The sequence below is a fragment of the Homo sapiens genome, chromosome 11 (assembly GCF_000001405.40).
Source record: "Homo sapiens chromosome 11, GRCh38.p14 Primary Assembly".
NCBI classification, from domain to species: domain Eukaryota; kingdom Metazoa; phylum Chordata; class Mammalia; order Primates; family Hominidae; genus Homo; species Homo sapiens.
Window position 1 is genome coordinate 9,516,840 of NC_000011.10, and position 13,801 is coordinate 9,530,640.

Below are 13,801 nucleotides of genomic sequence, written 5' to 3' on the forward strand. Positions count from 1 at the left end.
ATTCTTCCAGTCATTAAGCATATACAAACAAATACAAATAAGTAAATAGTCATCTCCCCCTACCTTTTTTGTTAACTAGCCCACAGCTAACATAATAGCTCTCTTCTGGTTTTTGAGACAGGCTGGAGTGCAGCGGCACGTCATGGCTCACTGCAGCCTCAACCTCCCAGGCTCAAACAATCCTCCCACCTCAGCCTCCCGAGTAGCTGAGACTACAGGTGTGCACCACCATGCCTGGCTAATTTTTATTTTTTATTTTTATTTTTTGTAGAGAAAGGGTCTCACTATGTTGCCCAGGCCTTGGCCTCCCAAAGTGCTGGGATTACAGGCATGAGCCACCATGCCCAGCCTCCATTTTTTTTTTAATGATAGTAAACTAGTCTGTTCTGCATCTTGTTGTTGTCTTTTAAACTTAACATCTTCAAAATCTTTCTATTTCATTATATAGAGAACTTCCTCATTCTGTTTTTTTTTTAAGCTGCATTGTATTCCACTGTATGGATGTGCCGCAATTAAAGTCTTTTGCTATTTCAAACAACACATAACCTTGTGCACATGTGATTTTGCATATATATGTGTGAGTAGATATGCTAGATAAATTCCTAGAGCAGGATTGCTGGTGCAAAGATACATGTATTCGTAATTGTGATCAGTGTTGCCAAACTTCCCTTCTAGGGTTGTGCCAGTCTCCATTCTTACCTGCAGGGTTTGATAGTGCCTCTTCTCCTTCAGCATAGTCACCATGATAGTATCAAACTTTTGAATTTTTGCCAATCTGATGTATTTTTCGTAGTTTTAATTTTCATTTCCCTTAAAATAAATAATGTAATATATTTAAAAACTGTTCTTGTACTGTGCTAAAGGCCAATGTTGAGTCTCACTCTTGAAAAAAGAATGAAGTTGGTGGTCTCATACACCCTGAAATGCAAAACTCAGAATCATAAAGCCTCTAGAAGACAAGAGAGGCAAATACTTCTGCAACCTTAAAGATTACTTGGACTGTATTCAAAATGTACTAACAATGAAAGAAAAAACTGATAAATTGGACTTAATCAAAATTAATTCTGCTCACCAAAAGACACTGTTAAGAAAAAGATCAGACAACCCCCAGACTGAGGAAAAGATATTCACACTATATACACACACTATATTGAATATAAGTCTAAAAACGGACTGTATTGAGAATGTGCAACAAACTTCTACAAATCAACAATGAAAAGATGAACAACCGTTAAAAATGAGCCAAAAAAGTGTTTTAAAATGTACAAATCATTCCGTTGCTCATTGAACAGACCTCCCACAAAAGATTCATAACTCAAAAAGTGCACATCTTTTATCATCAAAGAAATGCAAATTAACATCACAATGAGAGAGCATTTCAAACCCAAGAAGATGGCTAAAATCAAAGACTAACAAAACCAAATGTTGATTTCTCCTAAGAAACTGGTGAGGAAACAACCACCACCACCACCTCCAAATGTTGGCAAAGATGTGGAGCAACTAGAATATTCATATACTGCTAGTGGGAATGTAAAATGATCAATAAGCACATGAAAAGATGTTCAACATCATTAGTCATTAAGAAAATGCAGGCTGGGTGCGGTGGCTCACGCCTGTAATCCCAGCACTTTGGGAGGCCGAGGTGGGTGGATCACCTGAGGTCAGGAATTCAAGACCAGCGTGGCCAAACATGGTGAAACCCCGTCTCTAATAAAAATACAAAAACATTAGCCAGGCGTGGTGGCAGGGTGCCTGTAATCACAGCTACTCAGGAGGCTGAGGCAGGAGAATCGCTTGAACCCAGGAGGCAGAGGTTGCAGTCAGCCGAGATTGCACCACTGCACTCCAGCCTAGGCAAAAAGAGTGAGACTCCGTCTTAAAGAAAAAAAAAAAAAAGCTTCTGGTTATTTTCATAGGAAACAAATTTTTGTATTAACGGTTTAAGCTATTTTAAGCTGCTTGTTACATATTGCCAAATTATTTTTCAGAAAGGTTTAGTAATCGTGTTATGGATCTAAAAGCTTTCTTTTTCACTGTACTCTTGCATTGAGGATTTTTTAAAATATTTACAGAATTAACAAGCAAAAGTTAAATTCTGTTTATTTTCATTTGACCACTGGTGAAGTTAAGCCTGTTTTTCATATTTGCCTGCAATCTGGTTTTTTCTTAATTGAGGTAAAATTTACATAACAATGAAATGCACAGATCTTAAATTTACAATTCAATGAGTTATGTTAAATATGCACCCATATAACTAACATCCTAAACAAAATGTAGAACATTTCTATCACGCTAGAAAGTTACCTTGTGATTCCTTTATAGTCAGTACTCACTCTCCTTAGGCAAAAACTGTTGTGATTGAATTAGTTTTGCCTATTTTTTTTTTTTTTGAGACAGAGCCTCACTCTGTCACCCTGGCTGGAGTGCAGTGGCACGTTCTCAGCTCACTGCAACCTCCCGCGCCTGGCTAATTTTTTTGTATTTTTAGTAGAGATGGGGTTTTAGCATGTTGGCCATGCTGGTCTCGAACTCCGGACCTCAAGTGATCTGCCCGCCTCGGCCTCCCAAAGTGCTAGGATTACAGGCGTGAGCCACCGCACCCAGCTTGGTTTTGCCTATTCTTGAACATTACATAAATGGAACCACAGTATGAACTCTTTTGTGTCTGGGTTTTTCTACTTAACGTTTTGGATATTTATTCACATTGTTGGCATGTAATAACAGTTCATTCTTTTTTATTGCTGAGCAGTGTTCTATTGTAAGAATATACCACAACTTGTTGATATATTCTCCCCTTGGTGAACATTTGAAATGCTTCCAGTTTTTGACTATTATGAATAAGATGGCAGTAAAAATATGTTTGTAGACATATACTCTCATTTGTCTTGGATAAATACCTATTTGTGGAATTGCTGGGTCATAGAATAGAGGCATATTTACCTTTCTATGATAGTACCAAACAATTCTCCAAAGTGGCTGGGCTGTCATACACTCCCACTAGCAATGTCTAAGAGTTCCATTTGTTCAGTGCTGCTTCTTGTGGTTAAAACGTTTTTAAAAAATAGGCTGGGCGCAGTGGCTCACACCTGTAATCCCAGCACTTTGGGAGGCCAAGGTCGGAGGATTGCTTGAGCCCAGGATTTTAAAACCAACCTGGGCAATGTAGCAAGACACTGTTTCCACCAATTTTTTTTTTTTTTTTTTTTTTTTTTTTTGAGACGGAATCTCCCTCTGTCGCCCAGACTGCAGTGCAGTGGCCCAATCTCGGCTCACTGCAACTTCCGCCTTCCGGGTTCAAGTGATTCTCCTGCCTCGGCCTCCTTAGTAGCAGGATTACAGGCACCCACCAGCATGCCCAGCTAATTTTTGTATTTTTAGTAGAGAGGGGGTTTCACCATGTTGGTCAGGCTGGTCTCCAACTCCTGACCTCAGGTGATCCACCCGCCTCGGCTTCCCAAAGTGCTGAGCCACTGTGCCTGTCCAATTTTTTTTTTTTTTTTTTTTTTTAATTAGCAAAGCATGGCAGCATATGCCTGTAGTCCCAGCTACTCTTGAAGCTGAAGTGGGAGGATCACTTAGCCCAGGAGGTTGAGGCTTTGGTGAGCCATGTTCATTGTACTACAGCCTGGATGACAGAGCAAAACCCTGTCTTCTAAAAAAAATAAAAAAGAGGCCAGGCACAGTGGCTCATGCCTGTAATCCCAGGAATTTGGGAGGCTGAGGCAGGTGGATCACAAGGTCAGGAGTTCGAGACCAGCCTGGCCAGCATGGTGAAACCCTGGCTCTACTAAAAATACAAAAAATTAGCATGGTGTGGTGTGCACCTTTAGTCCCAGCTACTCAGGAGGCTGAGGCAGGAGAATTGCTTGAACCCGGTAGGTGGAGGTTGCAGTGAGCTGAGATTGCACCATTGCACTCCAGCCTGAGTGACAGCGAGACTCCGTCTCAAAAAAATAAAAAATAAAAAAGAATTCTGTTTGTTTCATATTATCACCAACATTTGGAGTTGTTTTAAAGTTTTAGCCATTCTACTGGATGTTAAGTGGTCTATCATTGTGGTTTTAATTTACATATAAAAAAGCTAATATATCACTTGGTTATGATGTATTTTTGTATTTTGCTGGATTCAATTAGCTAATATTTTTTAAAGATGATTTTTTAGAGCTGTTATAGGTCACCACAAAATTGAGAGGTAGGTACAGAGACTTCCCTTACACTCCCTGCCCCCACACATACATAGCCTCCTGCATAATGAACACCCCCACCAGAGGAACACGTTTGTTACTGTTGAAACCTACACGTACACATCACAATCACCCAGAGTCCATCATTTACATCAGGATTCACTGTTAGTGTTGTACATTCTATGGGTTTGGACAAACGTATGATGACATACATCTATCAATAGAGGATCATACTCTATTAGAGTATTTTTACTGCCCTTAAAATCCTCTGTGACAATTTGCTAATATCTTGTTAAGGATTTTGGTGTCAATGTTTATGAACCATATTGATCTATAATTTATTATGAAATTATAAGAAAAAGTTTCATCTCCTGTTTCAATATCAGGGTTAGGCTTGCCTCATAAAACAAGTTGGGAAGTGTTCTCTTCTGTACTATTTTCTGATAGTTGTGTAAGATTGGTATTATTTCTCCATAAAAGCTTGATAGAGTTAATTAGGACACCACCATCTATGCCCAGAGTTTTCTTTTTGCGGAGGTTTTTTTTTGTTTTTTTTTTGTTGTTGTTGTTGTTGTTTTTTACTATGGATTCAAGTTTTTAAGTGGATCTATACTATTCAAGTTATCTATGTTTTTTTGTATCCATTTTGCTAAGTTTTGTTTTTGTAAGTTTGTCTGTTTCATCTAAGTTTTCATATTTATTGATATAAAGATGTTCATACTATTTCCTTATTATCTCTTTAATATACATAGGATCTGGGGGCCGGGTGCGGTGGCTCATGCCTGTAATCCCAGCACTTTGGGAGGCTGAGGCAGGTGGATCACCTGAGGTCAGGAGTTCAAGACCAACCCAGGGCAACATGGTGAAACCCCATCTCTACTAAAAATACAAAATTAGCCAGGTGTGGTGGCGCATGCCAGTAGTCCCAGCTACTCAGGAGGCTGAGGTGGGAGGATCATTTGAGCCCAGGAGGCAGAGGTTGCAGTGAACTGAGGTAGCACAGCTACACTACAGCCTGGGCGACAGAGGGAGACCCTGTCTCAAAAAAAAAAAAAAAAAAAGTCAGTGGAAGGTAAAGCAATTCTTAGAGGAAAATTTCTTTTAAATGCTTGTATTGGAAAAAAAAGGTTTAAATTGAATGATCTTAGTTTCTACCTTAAGAAAAATTAAACAAAAAAAGTAAATGGAAGGAAATAAGGACTGGGCGCAGTGGCTCACACCTGTAATCTCAGCACTTTGGGAGGCTGAGGCAAGTGTTCCCGAGTAGCTGGGACCCAGGCTGGCCTCAAACTCCTGGGCTTCAGGGATCCCTCAGCCTCAGCCTCCCAAGAAGCTAGGACTGCAGGTACAAGCCACTGCTTCTGGGGAAAAAAAAAAAAATTTAAATTGTCTACTGCCCTTCTGGAACTCTAGTTACATGTATATTAACTAGGTGTTGTCTTACAAGTTGCTGGGAATCTATTTGGCTTTTTTGTTTTTTGTTTTTTTGAGACAGTTTTCGCTTTTGTTGCCCAGGCCGGAGTGCAATGGCACGCTCTCGGCTCACTGCAACCTCCGCCTCCCGGGTTCAAGCGATTCTCCTGCCTCAGCCTCCCAAGTAGCTGGGATTACAAGCACCGGCCACCACACCTGGCTAATTTTTGTAATTTTAGTAGAGACGGGGTCTCACCATGTTGGTCAGGCTGGTCTCGAACTGCTGACCTCAGGTGATCCACCCGCCTTGGCCTCCCAGAGTGTTGGGATTACAGGTGTGAGCCACCACACCTGGCCTATTTGGGGTTTTTAACAATCTTTCTCAAGGTTCTTCAGATGGAGAATGTATATTAATTTGTCTTTGACCTGGTTCTCCTCCCTCAGCCTCCCGAGTAGCTGGGACTACAGGCACCCGCCACCATGCCCAGCTAATTTTTTGTATTTTTTTTTTTAGTAGAGGTGGGGTTTCACCATGTTGGCCAGGCTGATCTCGAACTCCTGACCTCAGGTGATCCACCCACCTCGGCCTCCCAAAGTGCTAGGATTACAAGCGTGAGCCATCATGCCTGGCTAAGCAATTGTAATTTTTAAATTGCATTCTGGACCTTGTGGATGACACATTATAGAGATTCTGAATTTTGTTATCTTTCTCTGGAGAATATTGATTTTTTTTTTCTATTAGCTAGTTAAATTACGTGTTGTGGCTGGGTTTTGTACTTTGTTAAGGCAGGTCTGTTTCAGTGTTGCTATAAGGTCTTAGGGTGAATATTTAGTCCTGGGACGTAATCTTACCTCCTAACTTGGTAAGATTGAAACTTCAAATTCCGTCTCTCTTTGGTGAGTTGCACTGAAAGCTCTCCTTAGTTTCTCAGCCTTCTAGATGCTGCTTTGCCAGTCTTGTTGGAATGTTGTTGGAAACCGGAAATATTTGTGTTGAGGGGTCTTAAGGATTTGAGGCCGGGCGCGGTGGCTCACGCCTGTAATCCCAGCACTTTGGGAGGCTGAGGCGGGCGGATCACGAGGTCAGGAGATCGAGACCATCCTGGCTAACACGGTGAAACCCCGTGTCTACTAAAAAATACAAAAAATTAGCTGGGCGTGATGGCGGGCGCCTGTAGTCCCAGCTACTCGGGAGGCTGAGGCAGGAGAATGGCGTGAACCCGGGAGGCGGAGCTTGCAGTGAGCCAAGACGGCGCCACTGCACTCCAGCCTGGGCGACAAAGTGAGACTCCGTCTCAAAAAATATATAATAATAATAATTATTATTCTGGCTGGGCGCGGGGGCTCACGTCTGTAATCCCAGCGCTTTGGGAGGCCGAGGCGGGTGGATCGCCTGAGGTCAGGAGTTCGAGACCAGCCTGACCAACTTGGAGAAACCCTGTTTCTACTAAAAATACAAAAATTAGCCGAGTGAGGTGCCGCATGCCTGTAATCCCAGCTACTCGGGAGGCTGAGGCAGAAGAATCGCTTGAACCTGGGAGGCAGAGTTTGCAGTGAGCTGAGATCAAGCCATTGCATTCCAGCTTGGGCGACAGAGCGAGACTACCTCAAAAAAAAAAAAAAAAAAAAGGATTTGAGGACAGTTTATACAAAGATTTGGGGGCTTCCCACTCAAATTCTTTGCTTTCTGGGCTATTCTTCTCTGTACTGCTATTCTGGCAGCCCTGGACTCCATTATCTTTAACCTTAAGTTGCCCCAGGCTGCTCAAACTGGGTAGTGCCCTCAGTGTGAAATCTATTTAAACACAGATATAACACAGTGTGACTCCCTTCTTTTGAGAATCCCCTCTAGTTTCTTCCTGCTTGTCATTGCTCCTCAAAGCCTTCATATAGTTGCTTTTTCATATTTTTGTCAAGGGTTTATAATTGTTATCTGCAGGAAGGTTAGCCCAATATAAGCTACTTAGACATTGCTGGAATGAAATCTGTTTTTCTTATAGAATTAGGGAACATTATTGGGATTGATCCAAGCTAAATATCTATTAGCTTAAAATGTAGCATTTTTAGTGGATGAATAGCCAAGTAAAACAGCAGTTTTCATTTTTAATCTATTCTTTCTCTGAATTTGGCTGAGTAAAATTTTAGAATATCATCTAACAGAAATAGTTAATTGCCATTTTCCATGTTATCTGCATTTTTTTAAAAAGTTGTACTTGTGGTATAAGAGCCACAAAAGCCCTTTTAATCCTCCTGGCTAGATGCTGCAAGAGGAGTATGGGAAGATTCCATGGAGTCTAAAATGGGAAATGAGTATGAGATGAGATGCTGTTTGTCAGTAGTACCACTGGTCCTTTCAGTTTTCCTAGTTAAATGGAAATCTAATTTTAAATACGACAAGTAAAGAGGAAAAAAATCATTTATTTTCTCCTATGAGCCAATCTCAGGAAAAAAAAATGGACATTTGAGGTGCAAATTAGTCCACATACATAACTTCCCAAGCAGTCACTTAGGGGTAATAGAATCTAGGTACAGCCACATCTCCCTGGCTAATGGGGCCTGGCATAGCAGATCCATTTCTCCAGTGTTCTCTACCCTATTTTGCCGTTGGCTCACTTCATAACCTTAGATAATGAGCCTCAACTTCCTCAAATAAACCTCCTTTCAATATAGGCTTTGACAAGTCTATGGTCAGAGGAGTTTTTCCTTTTCAATTTGAAGAAATCCATTGTATTAAGTGGACTTTAACCTATTTAAATCGCAGGTTTAATTCTTTATGTGTATGGTTTGTTTTGTTTTGCTTAAGGTTGCAATTGTAGCTCAAGACTTGGCAGCATTCCATACTGCCTCATCAGAAATGGGGCACCAGCAGCATAGCCATCACTTAGTAACCACAGAAACCAGACCTCTGACCTTAGTAGCAACATCCAATGGCACCCAGATTGCAGTTCAGGTGAGTACCAAGGCATACTGTCCTCAGTCGACAGCAGTGCTGCTCATAGCTTTCAACTTTGTACACTGTGCTTCGTGTATAACCTTTACAGGAGGCAAGGTGTAGAATAATCTCTATCACCTAGCCTACTTTAAGGAAATCGGTGTATTTGAGGTGGACTCAAAAAGACCAGCACTTTGTTCTCTACCCATCTTTGCATATTCTAGGGGAATTTATAGCAAGAAAAAAAACCTTCAGGTATATATCCCTGTGTGCACCCACCCAGGCATCTTTACTCTCAAAATAAAAGTCTAATTAGGCAGGGGTCTGTAAAGCACTTAAGAGCTACTCCTTAGAGAAAAACCTAGTGGAAACACAAATCCTAAATAAGTCCTCTGAGAATCCTTGCACAGCCCCCATTTTAAAGTGGGGAATGTCAGAAGACTTAGAAGGAATCATTCTCTGGGAAGCAGAGAATTTAGAATCTTAGGTGCAGCCGGGCATGGTGGCTCATCCCTATAATCCTAGCACTTTGGGAGGCTGAGACAGGTAGGTAGCTTGAGCTTAGGAATTAGAGACCAGCCTGGGCAACATGGTGAAAACCATCACTACAAAAAACACAAAAATTAGCTGGGTGTGGTGACGGCTGCCTGTAGTGCCCAGCTACTTGGGGGGTGCTGAGGCAGGAGGATTACTTGTACCCAGGAGATTTGAGGCTGCAGTGAGCCAAGATTGTGCCACTGCACTCCCGCCTGGGTAACAAATGAGACCCCATCTCAAAAAATAAGAGACCAGCCCAGGCAACATGACGAAACCCCATCTCTACAAAAATACAAAAATTAGCCAGGTGTGGTGGTGTGCACCTGTAGTCCCAGCTACTCAGGTGGCTGAGGTGGAAGGATCACTTGAGCAAGGGAGGTTGAGGCTGCAGTGAGCCAAGATCGCACCACTGTACTCCAGCCTGGGCAACAGAGCGAGACCCTGTCTCAAAAAAAAAATTAGAATGTAAAGTAAAATAGAATCCTAGGGGCTAGGTGCAGATTACCTGTCCTTAGGGAGATTTTTTTTCCGCCCACGTGTTTACTTGATAAAGAGTTAGAACACACTCCAGGAAATGTCAGCTGTTGGCTTTATGTAGTTTATGGGTATAGAAGCTAAAGGCTCAAGAAGCTCTCTTTTGTTGGCTGAGGTAAGCATCTTTTGTCTCTTGCATGTATGAATTTTTTTTTTTTTTAGTTTTTATTTATGTAAAAATAAATAGAGATGGGGTCTCACTATGTTGCTCAGGCTGGTCTTGAACTCCTGGGCTCAAGTGATCCTCCTGCCTCAGCCTCCCAAAGTGCTACGATTATAGTCATGAGCCACCATGGCCAGACTGTATGAAGATTTTATCAAAATCCCAAGTAAATTGCAGGCCAGGCACGGCAGGCTGGGAGTACAGGTGCACGCTGCCATGCGCAGCTAATTTTTGTTTTTTGAGACGGAGTCTCGCTCTGTCACCCAGGCTGGAGTGCAGTGGCACCATCTTGGCTCACTGCAAGCTCCGCCTCCTGGGTTCATGCCATTCTCCTCCCTCAGCCTCCCCAGTAGCTGGGACTACAGGCACCCATCACCACGCCCAGCAATTTTTTTTTTGTATTTTTTAGTAGAAATGAAATGGGGTTTCACTGTGTTAGCCAGGATGGTCTCAATCTCCTGACCTCGTGATCTGCCCGCCTCGGCCTCCCGAAGTGCTGAGATTACAGGCGTGAGCCACCGCGCCCAGCCAATTTTTGTATTTTTTTAGTAGAGATGGGGCGTTTTGCCATGTTGCTCAGGCTGGTCTCGAACTCCTGGGCTCAAGCAATCTGCCTGCCTCCACCTCCCAAAGTGTTGGGATTACAGGCATGGGCCACCATGCCCCGCTGAGACCTCATCATATCACCAGGCCTGGCTGCACATAGGATTTGAAATTCAAAAAAGAAAAAGAAATTGCATTGCATTATTCTCCCCTGCAGGAAATTGTTTTGTTCTCTTAATGTTTGAGTTAGCAGTAGTATTTTAACAATCCCAAGTGTCAGAATTACAGAGAGAAGTTTCACTTCTGGCATATAACATTTCTTTGGCATTTTCTTGACTGTGGCTTTTGAATTGTTAGCGTTTGATGTGTGTGTTCCTGTTTCAGCTTGGAGAACAGCCATCTCTGGAAGAAGCCATCAGAATAGCGTCTAGAATCCAACAAGGAGAAACGCCAGGGTTGGATGATTAATCCTCAGAACAATGGAGCAATAAAGCAGAAGGAGTCTTTCATCTTCTGGCAGCAGAAATCCATGAAGCCCGGGCCCAGGAAAATTAGAAGTTTTCCATTCCTGATACACTGTACACATTTTTATGCGAGAGTGGAGAACATTTTATTCTTGACACTTTTGTGTATATAACCCTTGGAATAGATTCTCAGAGTGATTCATTGTGTACAAGGAAGTATGAAATTAGGGCAATACAGTAAATTTTCATGTTACTCTTTTATCAGATCACAAACTCCTAGAGTCTACATGCAAGACTAGTAAAGTCTTATGGAGTCTTATGATGGATTTTTAACTTCCCGTGGAAAAAAAAATAAAGGCTGTATCTAAAATATCAAAGGTTCTATATGTCACACAATCGTAATTCCAAAAGCCATTATGGATAATAAAGGGTGTAAAGCCTTCAGATATTTCCCCAGTTAGTAGAGTGTCTGCGGTTTTTGTTCTACTATATGCTTGTCCATTTTTATTTGTATCTCATGGTTTGCAGACTGTTTGAATAATTTATAGTTTCCCATCCCTGTTAAAAACCAGCTCTTCAAGCTGAAATGCTAATTATATTGGCATTACATTGAATTATGTACAAAATTATAAAATTTGGTTATTTAAAATTAAAAAGTTAAATCCAGTGGTTTTGTTAAAGATTTTGCTTAGTATTCAATTTTTATTACTGTTTTTTAAAAATAATGAATCATCAAAGTTTAACCACAGGCTGGTGCCCGGGATAACAGTACTGTAATTGGAAATGGCTTTACTCTGAAAATTAGGTTAGTGGGTTGGTGTAAATTATTTATTTTTGCTTATGTACTTTTGTTTTAAAGCTTATTTACCCCAAAGTTTATTATTAATTTTGAATACAGCAATTTTTAAAATGTTACTTTTATATTTATTTATTTATCATATTGGTGGGGGGTTGGGGGGAAATGGTGCAGAAAATATCGCAAATGTAATGGAATGTAACCTAATACACATATTGAAAGGATGTTGTTTATCAAGTACAGAGTAAGTGCTTTTCCATATATTTTTATATATTCACAACAATTTTGTGAGACATATGGGATTTACTACCTCCGTTTTTTACATGAGGAAACCAAGAGTCCAGGAGGGAGGCTGACTGTCGTACCAGCCCTCACAGCTATGGAGAGGCAGGACCAAGACGAGAACCCAGACTTTCTGGCTCCAAGTCTAGTGTGTTTTCACTGCACCACAGTTACCTCCTCAAATGCTCATTTGTGGCAGAGATTATCAAGATGAACTTTGGTGATTTCTGATTGCCTAATGAATTGAGCAGTATAAAAACCATTTTCTAATGCTGGAAAATCAGCGTTCACCAAGGTCAAAAAAAAAAAAAAAAAGATGGTGTGTTCCGCAGCAGCCCCTCCTGCACTGTAGTTCAGCGAGCTTTATTTGCAGAGAGCTGAAATGTGGCTTTTTCATTTCAAGCTTTACAGTAGAAAGGGGAAAACGTTGTGCTGTTTGATTTTACATAAATGTTATCTTTGATCAGGTTCTATGATCTTGCTAAAAAGGATGGTGACTTACTTGAAATCGGAAGCCCTTCAGGGTTGGGCAGAACTTTTCCTGCAGAACCCTTTACAGATGCATAACATTAGCAAAAGCCCTAGTCAACCACCGATCGAGTCTTCATTCTTGACAGAGACACAGACCCACACAGAACTCCCCCCGGAAGCCCACTGAGGCTCAGAAAGGGGCTGTTGGGCGGGGTAGAAGACCAGAATCTGCAAAATCGCAGGCAGGGTGGCGCCCAGCCTCCCAGTGCTGGTCCTGGCTGCTGGCCAGGAGCTCCTCCCCACTGGGCCCAGCCAGGCTGCTGTACTTCCCAGGACCAAAAACCAAGCTGTCAGCCTCCCATGGCCCCTTAGATCTGACTTTGCTCAAATTCCAGGGTGTTTCTCTTTACTCCCAGCACCTTTGCCAGTTGGATTGGGCAGGGCTTAACCTGGACTGTTTTGGTTAGCCTGATTATCCCTCAGCTCAAAAGAAAATGACCTCTGGCACCCAGAGAAAAGGGCCTAGGGTCGCTGCTAGTTTAACCTGACCTGCCTTCTTGGGAATGGGGCCTCAGGAGCCTGGCAAGGTGGCCTGTTTCCTCCAGGGGAAGGGTGCAGTTGGTGTGCTGACAATTGCTAGGAAAGCTGCTATAGGGTCTCTTCACAGTGCAGGACATGGAAACGTCCAAGGTTGAAAAATCCCAAAAAGACACTTGAAATAAGAGTAAACGCTAGCAAACAGAACCAGGTGGGGCATAACCCTCTGGAATTTGATCCAGACAGTGCTCAAGGAAAACCTCTCCGTCCAAAAAAACCACCCTGCTTTGCCCCAGACAAAGCTTGAGGCCACTACAAAGAAAATGTGCCCTAGTCTGAACTCAAAAGAACTTAGAGTTAAGGGAGGGACGAGGCTTTCTTAATTCTCTAGAGGTGACAGCTGCCCAGAGAGCCAGATCTCTCCTTCCCCTCCTACCCACCCCCAGGCCTTCAGGGCAAACTAACTTTGTACAGTGTCTCTTGCTTGCTGCTTGCCTTCCCGTGTGACAGCCCTGGGGCTAGGTAAGCAACTTGGGAAACTGTGGTCTCAGTGCTGAAACTGACTGGACTCCATTTATCAACCCAAGGAGTTTACCGTCCAGTATTTCCTGGCTCAGATAAGATTATAGACTAGTCAACTATTGGTAGACCTCAGCAGCGAGCGAGGAGTGGGATGTGAAAAAGAAGGGGGCAGAGCTGAAGTCTAGTGTCGAAGAGGAAAAGGGAGCGTGTTGGAAGGGGAGAAAAGCTGCCTCAGCCTCCTGCATGATAAGCACTTTCTGTACCTAGGTTTCCTTCAGGGATGACGCTTTCAAGGAATACTCCAGCCAAATACTCCCCTTCTGCCTGAGGGACAGGACACGCCTGCATGGGCATGTGATCAGTACAGTTTGAACAAGAAAGTGCACTCAGAAGGGCCCTGGATTTGGGGTTTAATGGACTGTG

The 13,801-nt window shown here is 42.3% G+C and overlaps 1 protein-coding gene across 21 annotated transcripts in view, besides 1 other annotated feature; it reads left to right on the forward strand.

Annotated features, from left to right (window-relative positions):
• ZNF143 (zinc finger protein 143) overlaps nucleotides 1-11,685 on the forward strand; it is a 67,513-nt gene extending 55,828 nt beyond the window's left edge. For all 21 annotated transcript variants that reach the window (XM_047427553.1, XM_047427557.1, XM_047427552.1 and 18 more), the window contains 2 exons: nucleotides 8,401-8,547; nucleotides 10,691-11,685. In XM_047427553.1, coding sequence (XP_047283509.1) covers nucleotides 8,401-8,547; nucleotides 10,691-10,774 — 231 coding nt within the window. In that variant the 3' untranslated portion in view covers nucleotides 10,775-11,685. The remainder of the gene's footprint in view (nucleotides 1-8,400; nucleotides 8,548-10,690) is intronic.
• Nucleotides 12,817-13,543: an enhancer, noted in NCBI's record as "H3K27ac-H3K4me1 hESC enhancer chr11:9551203-9551929 (GRCh37/hg19 assembly coordinates)". NCBI's record gives its function as "activates a minimal SCP1, AML or CMV promoter by ChIP-STARR-seq in naive H9 embryonic stem cells {active_cell/tissue: H9 hESC(naive)}" and the evidence as "EXISTENCE:reporter gene assay evidence [ECO:0000049][PMID:30033119]".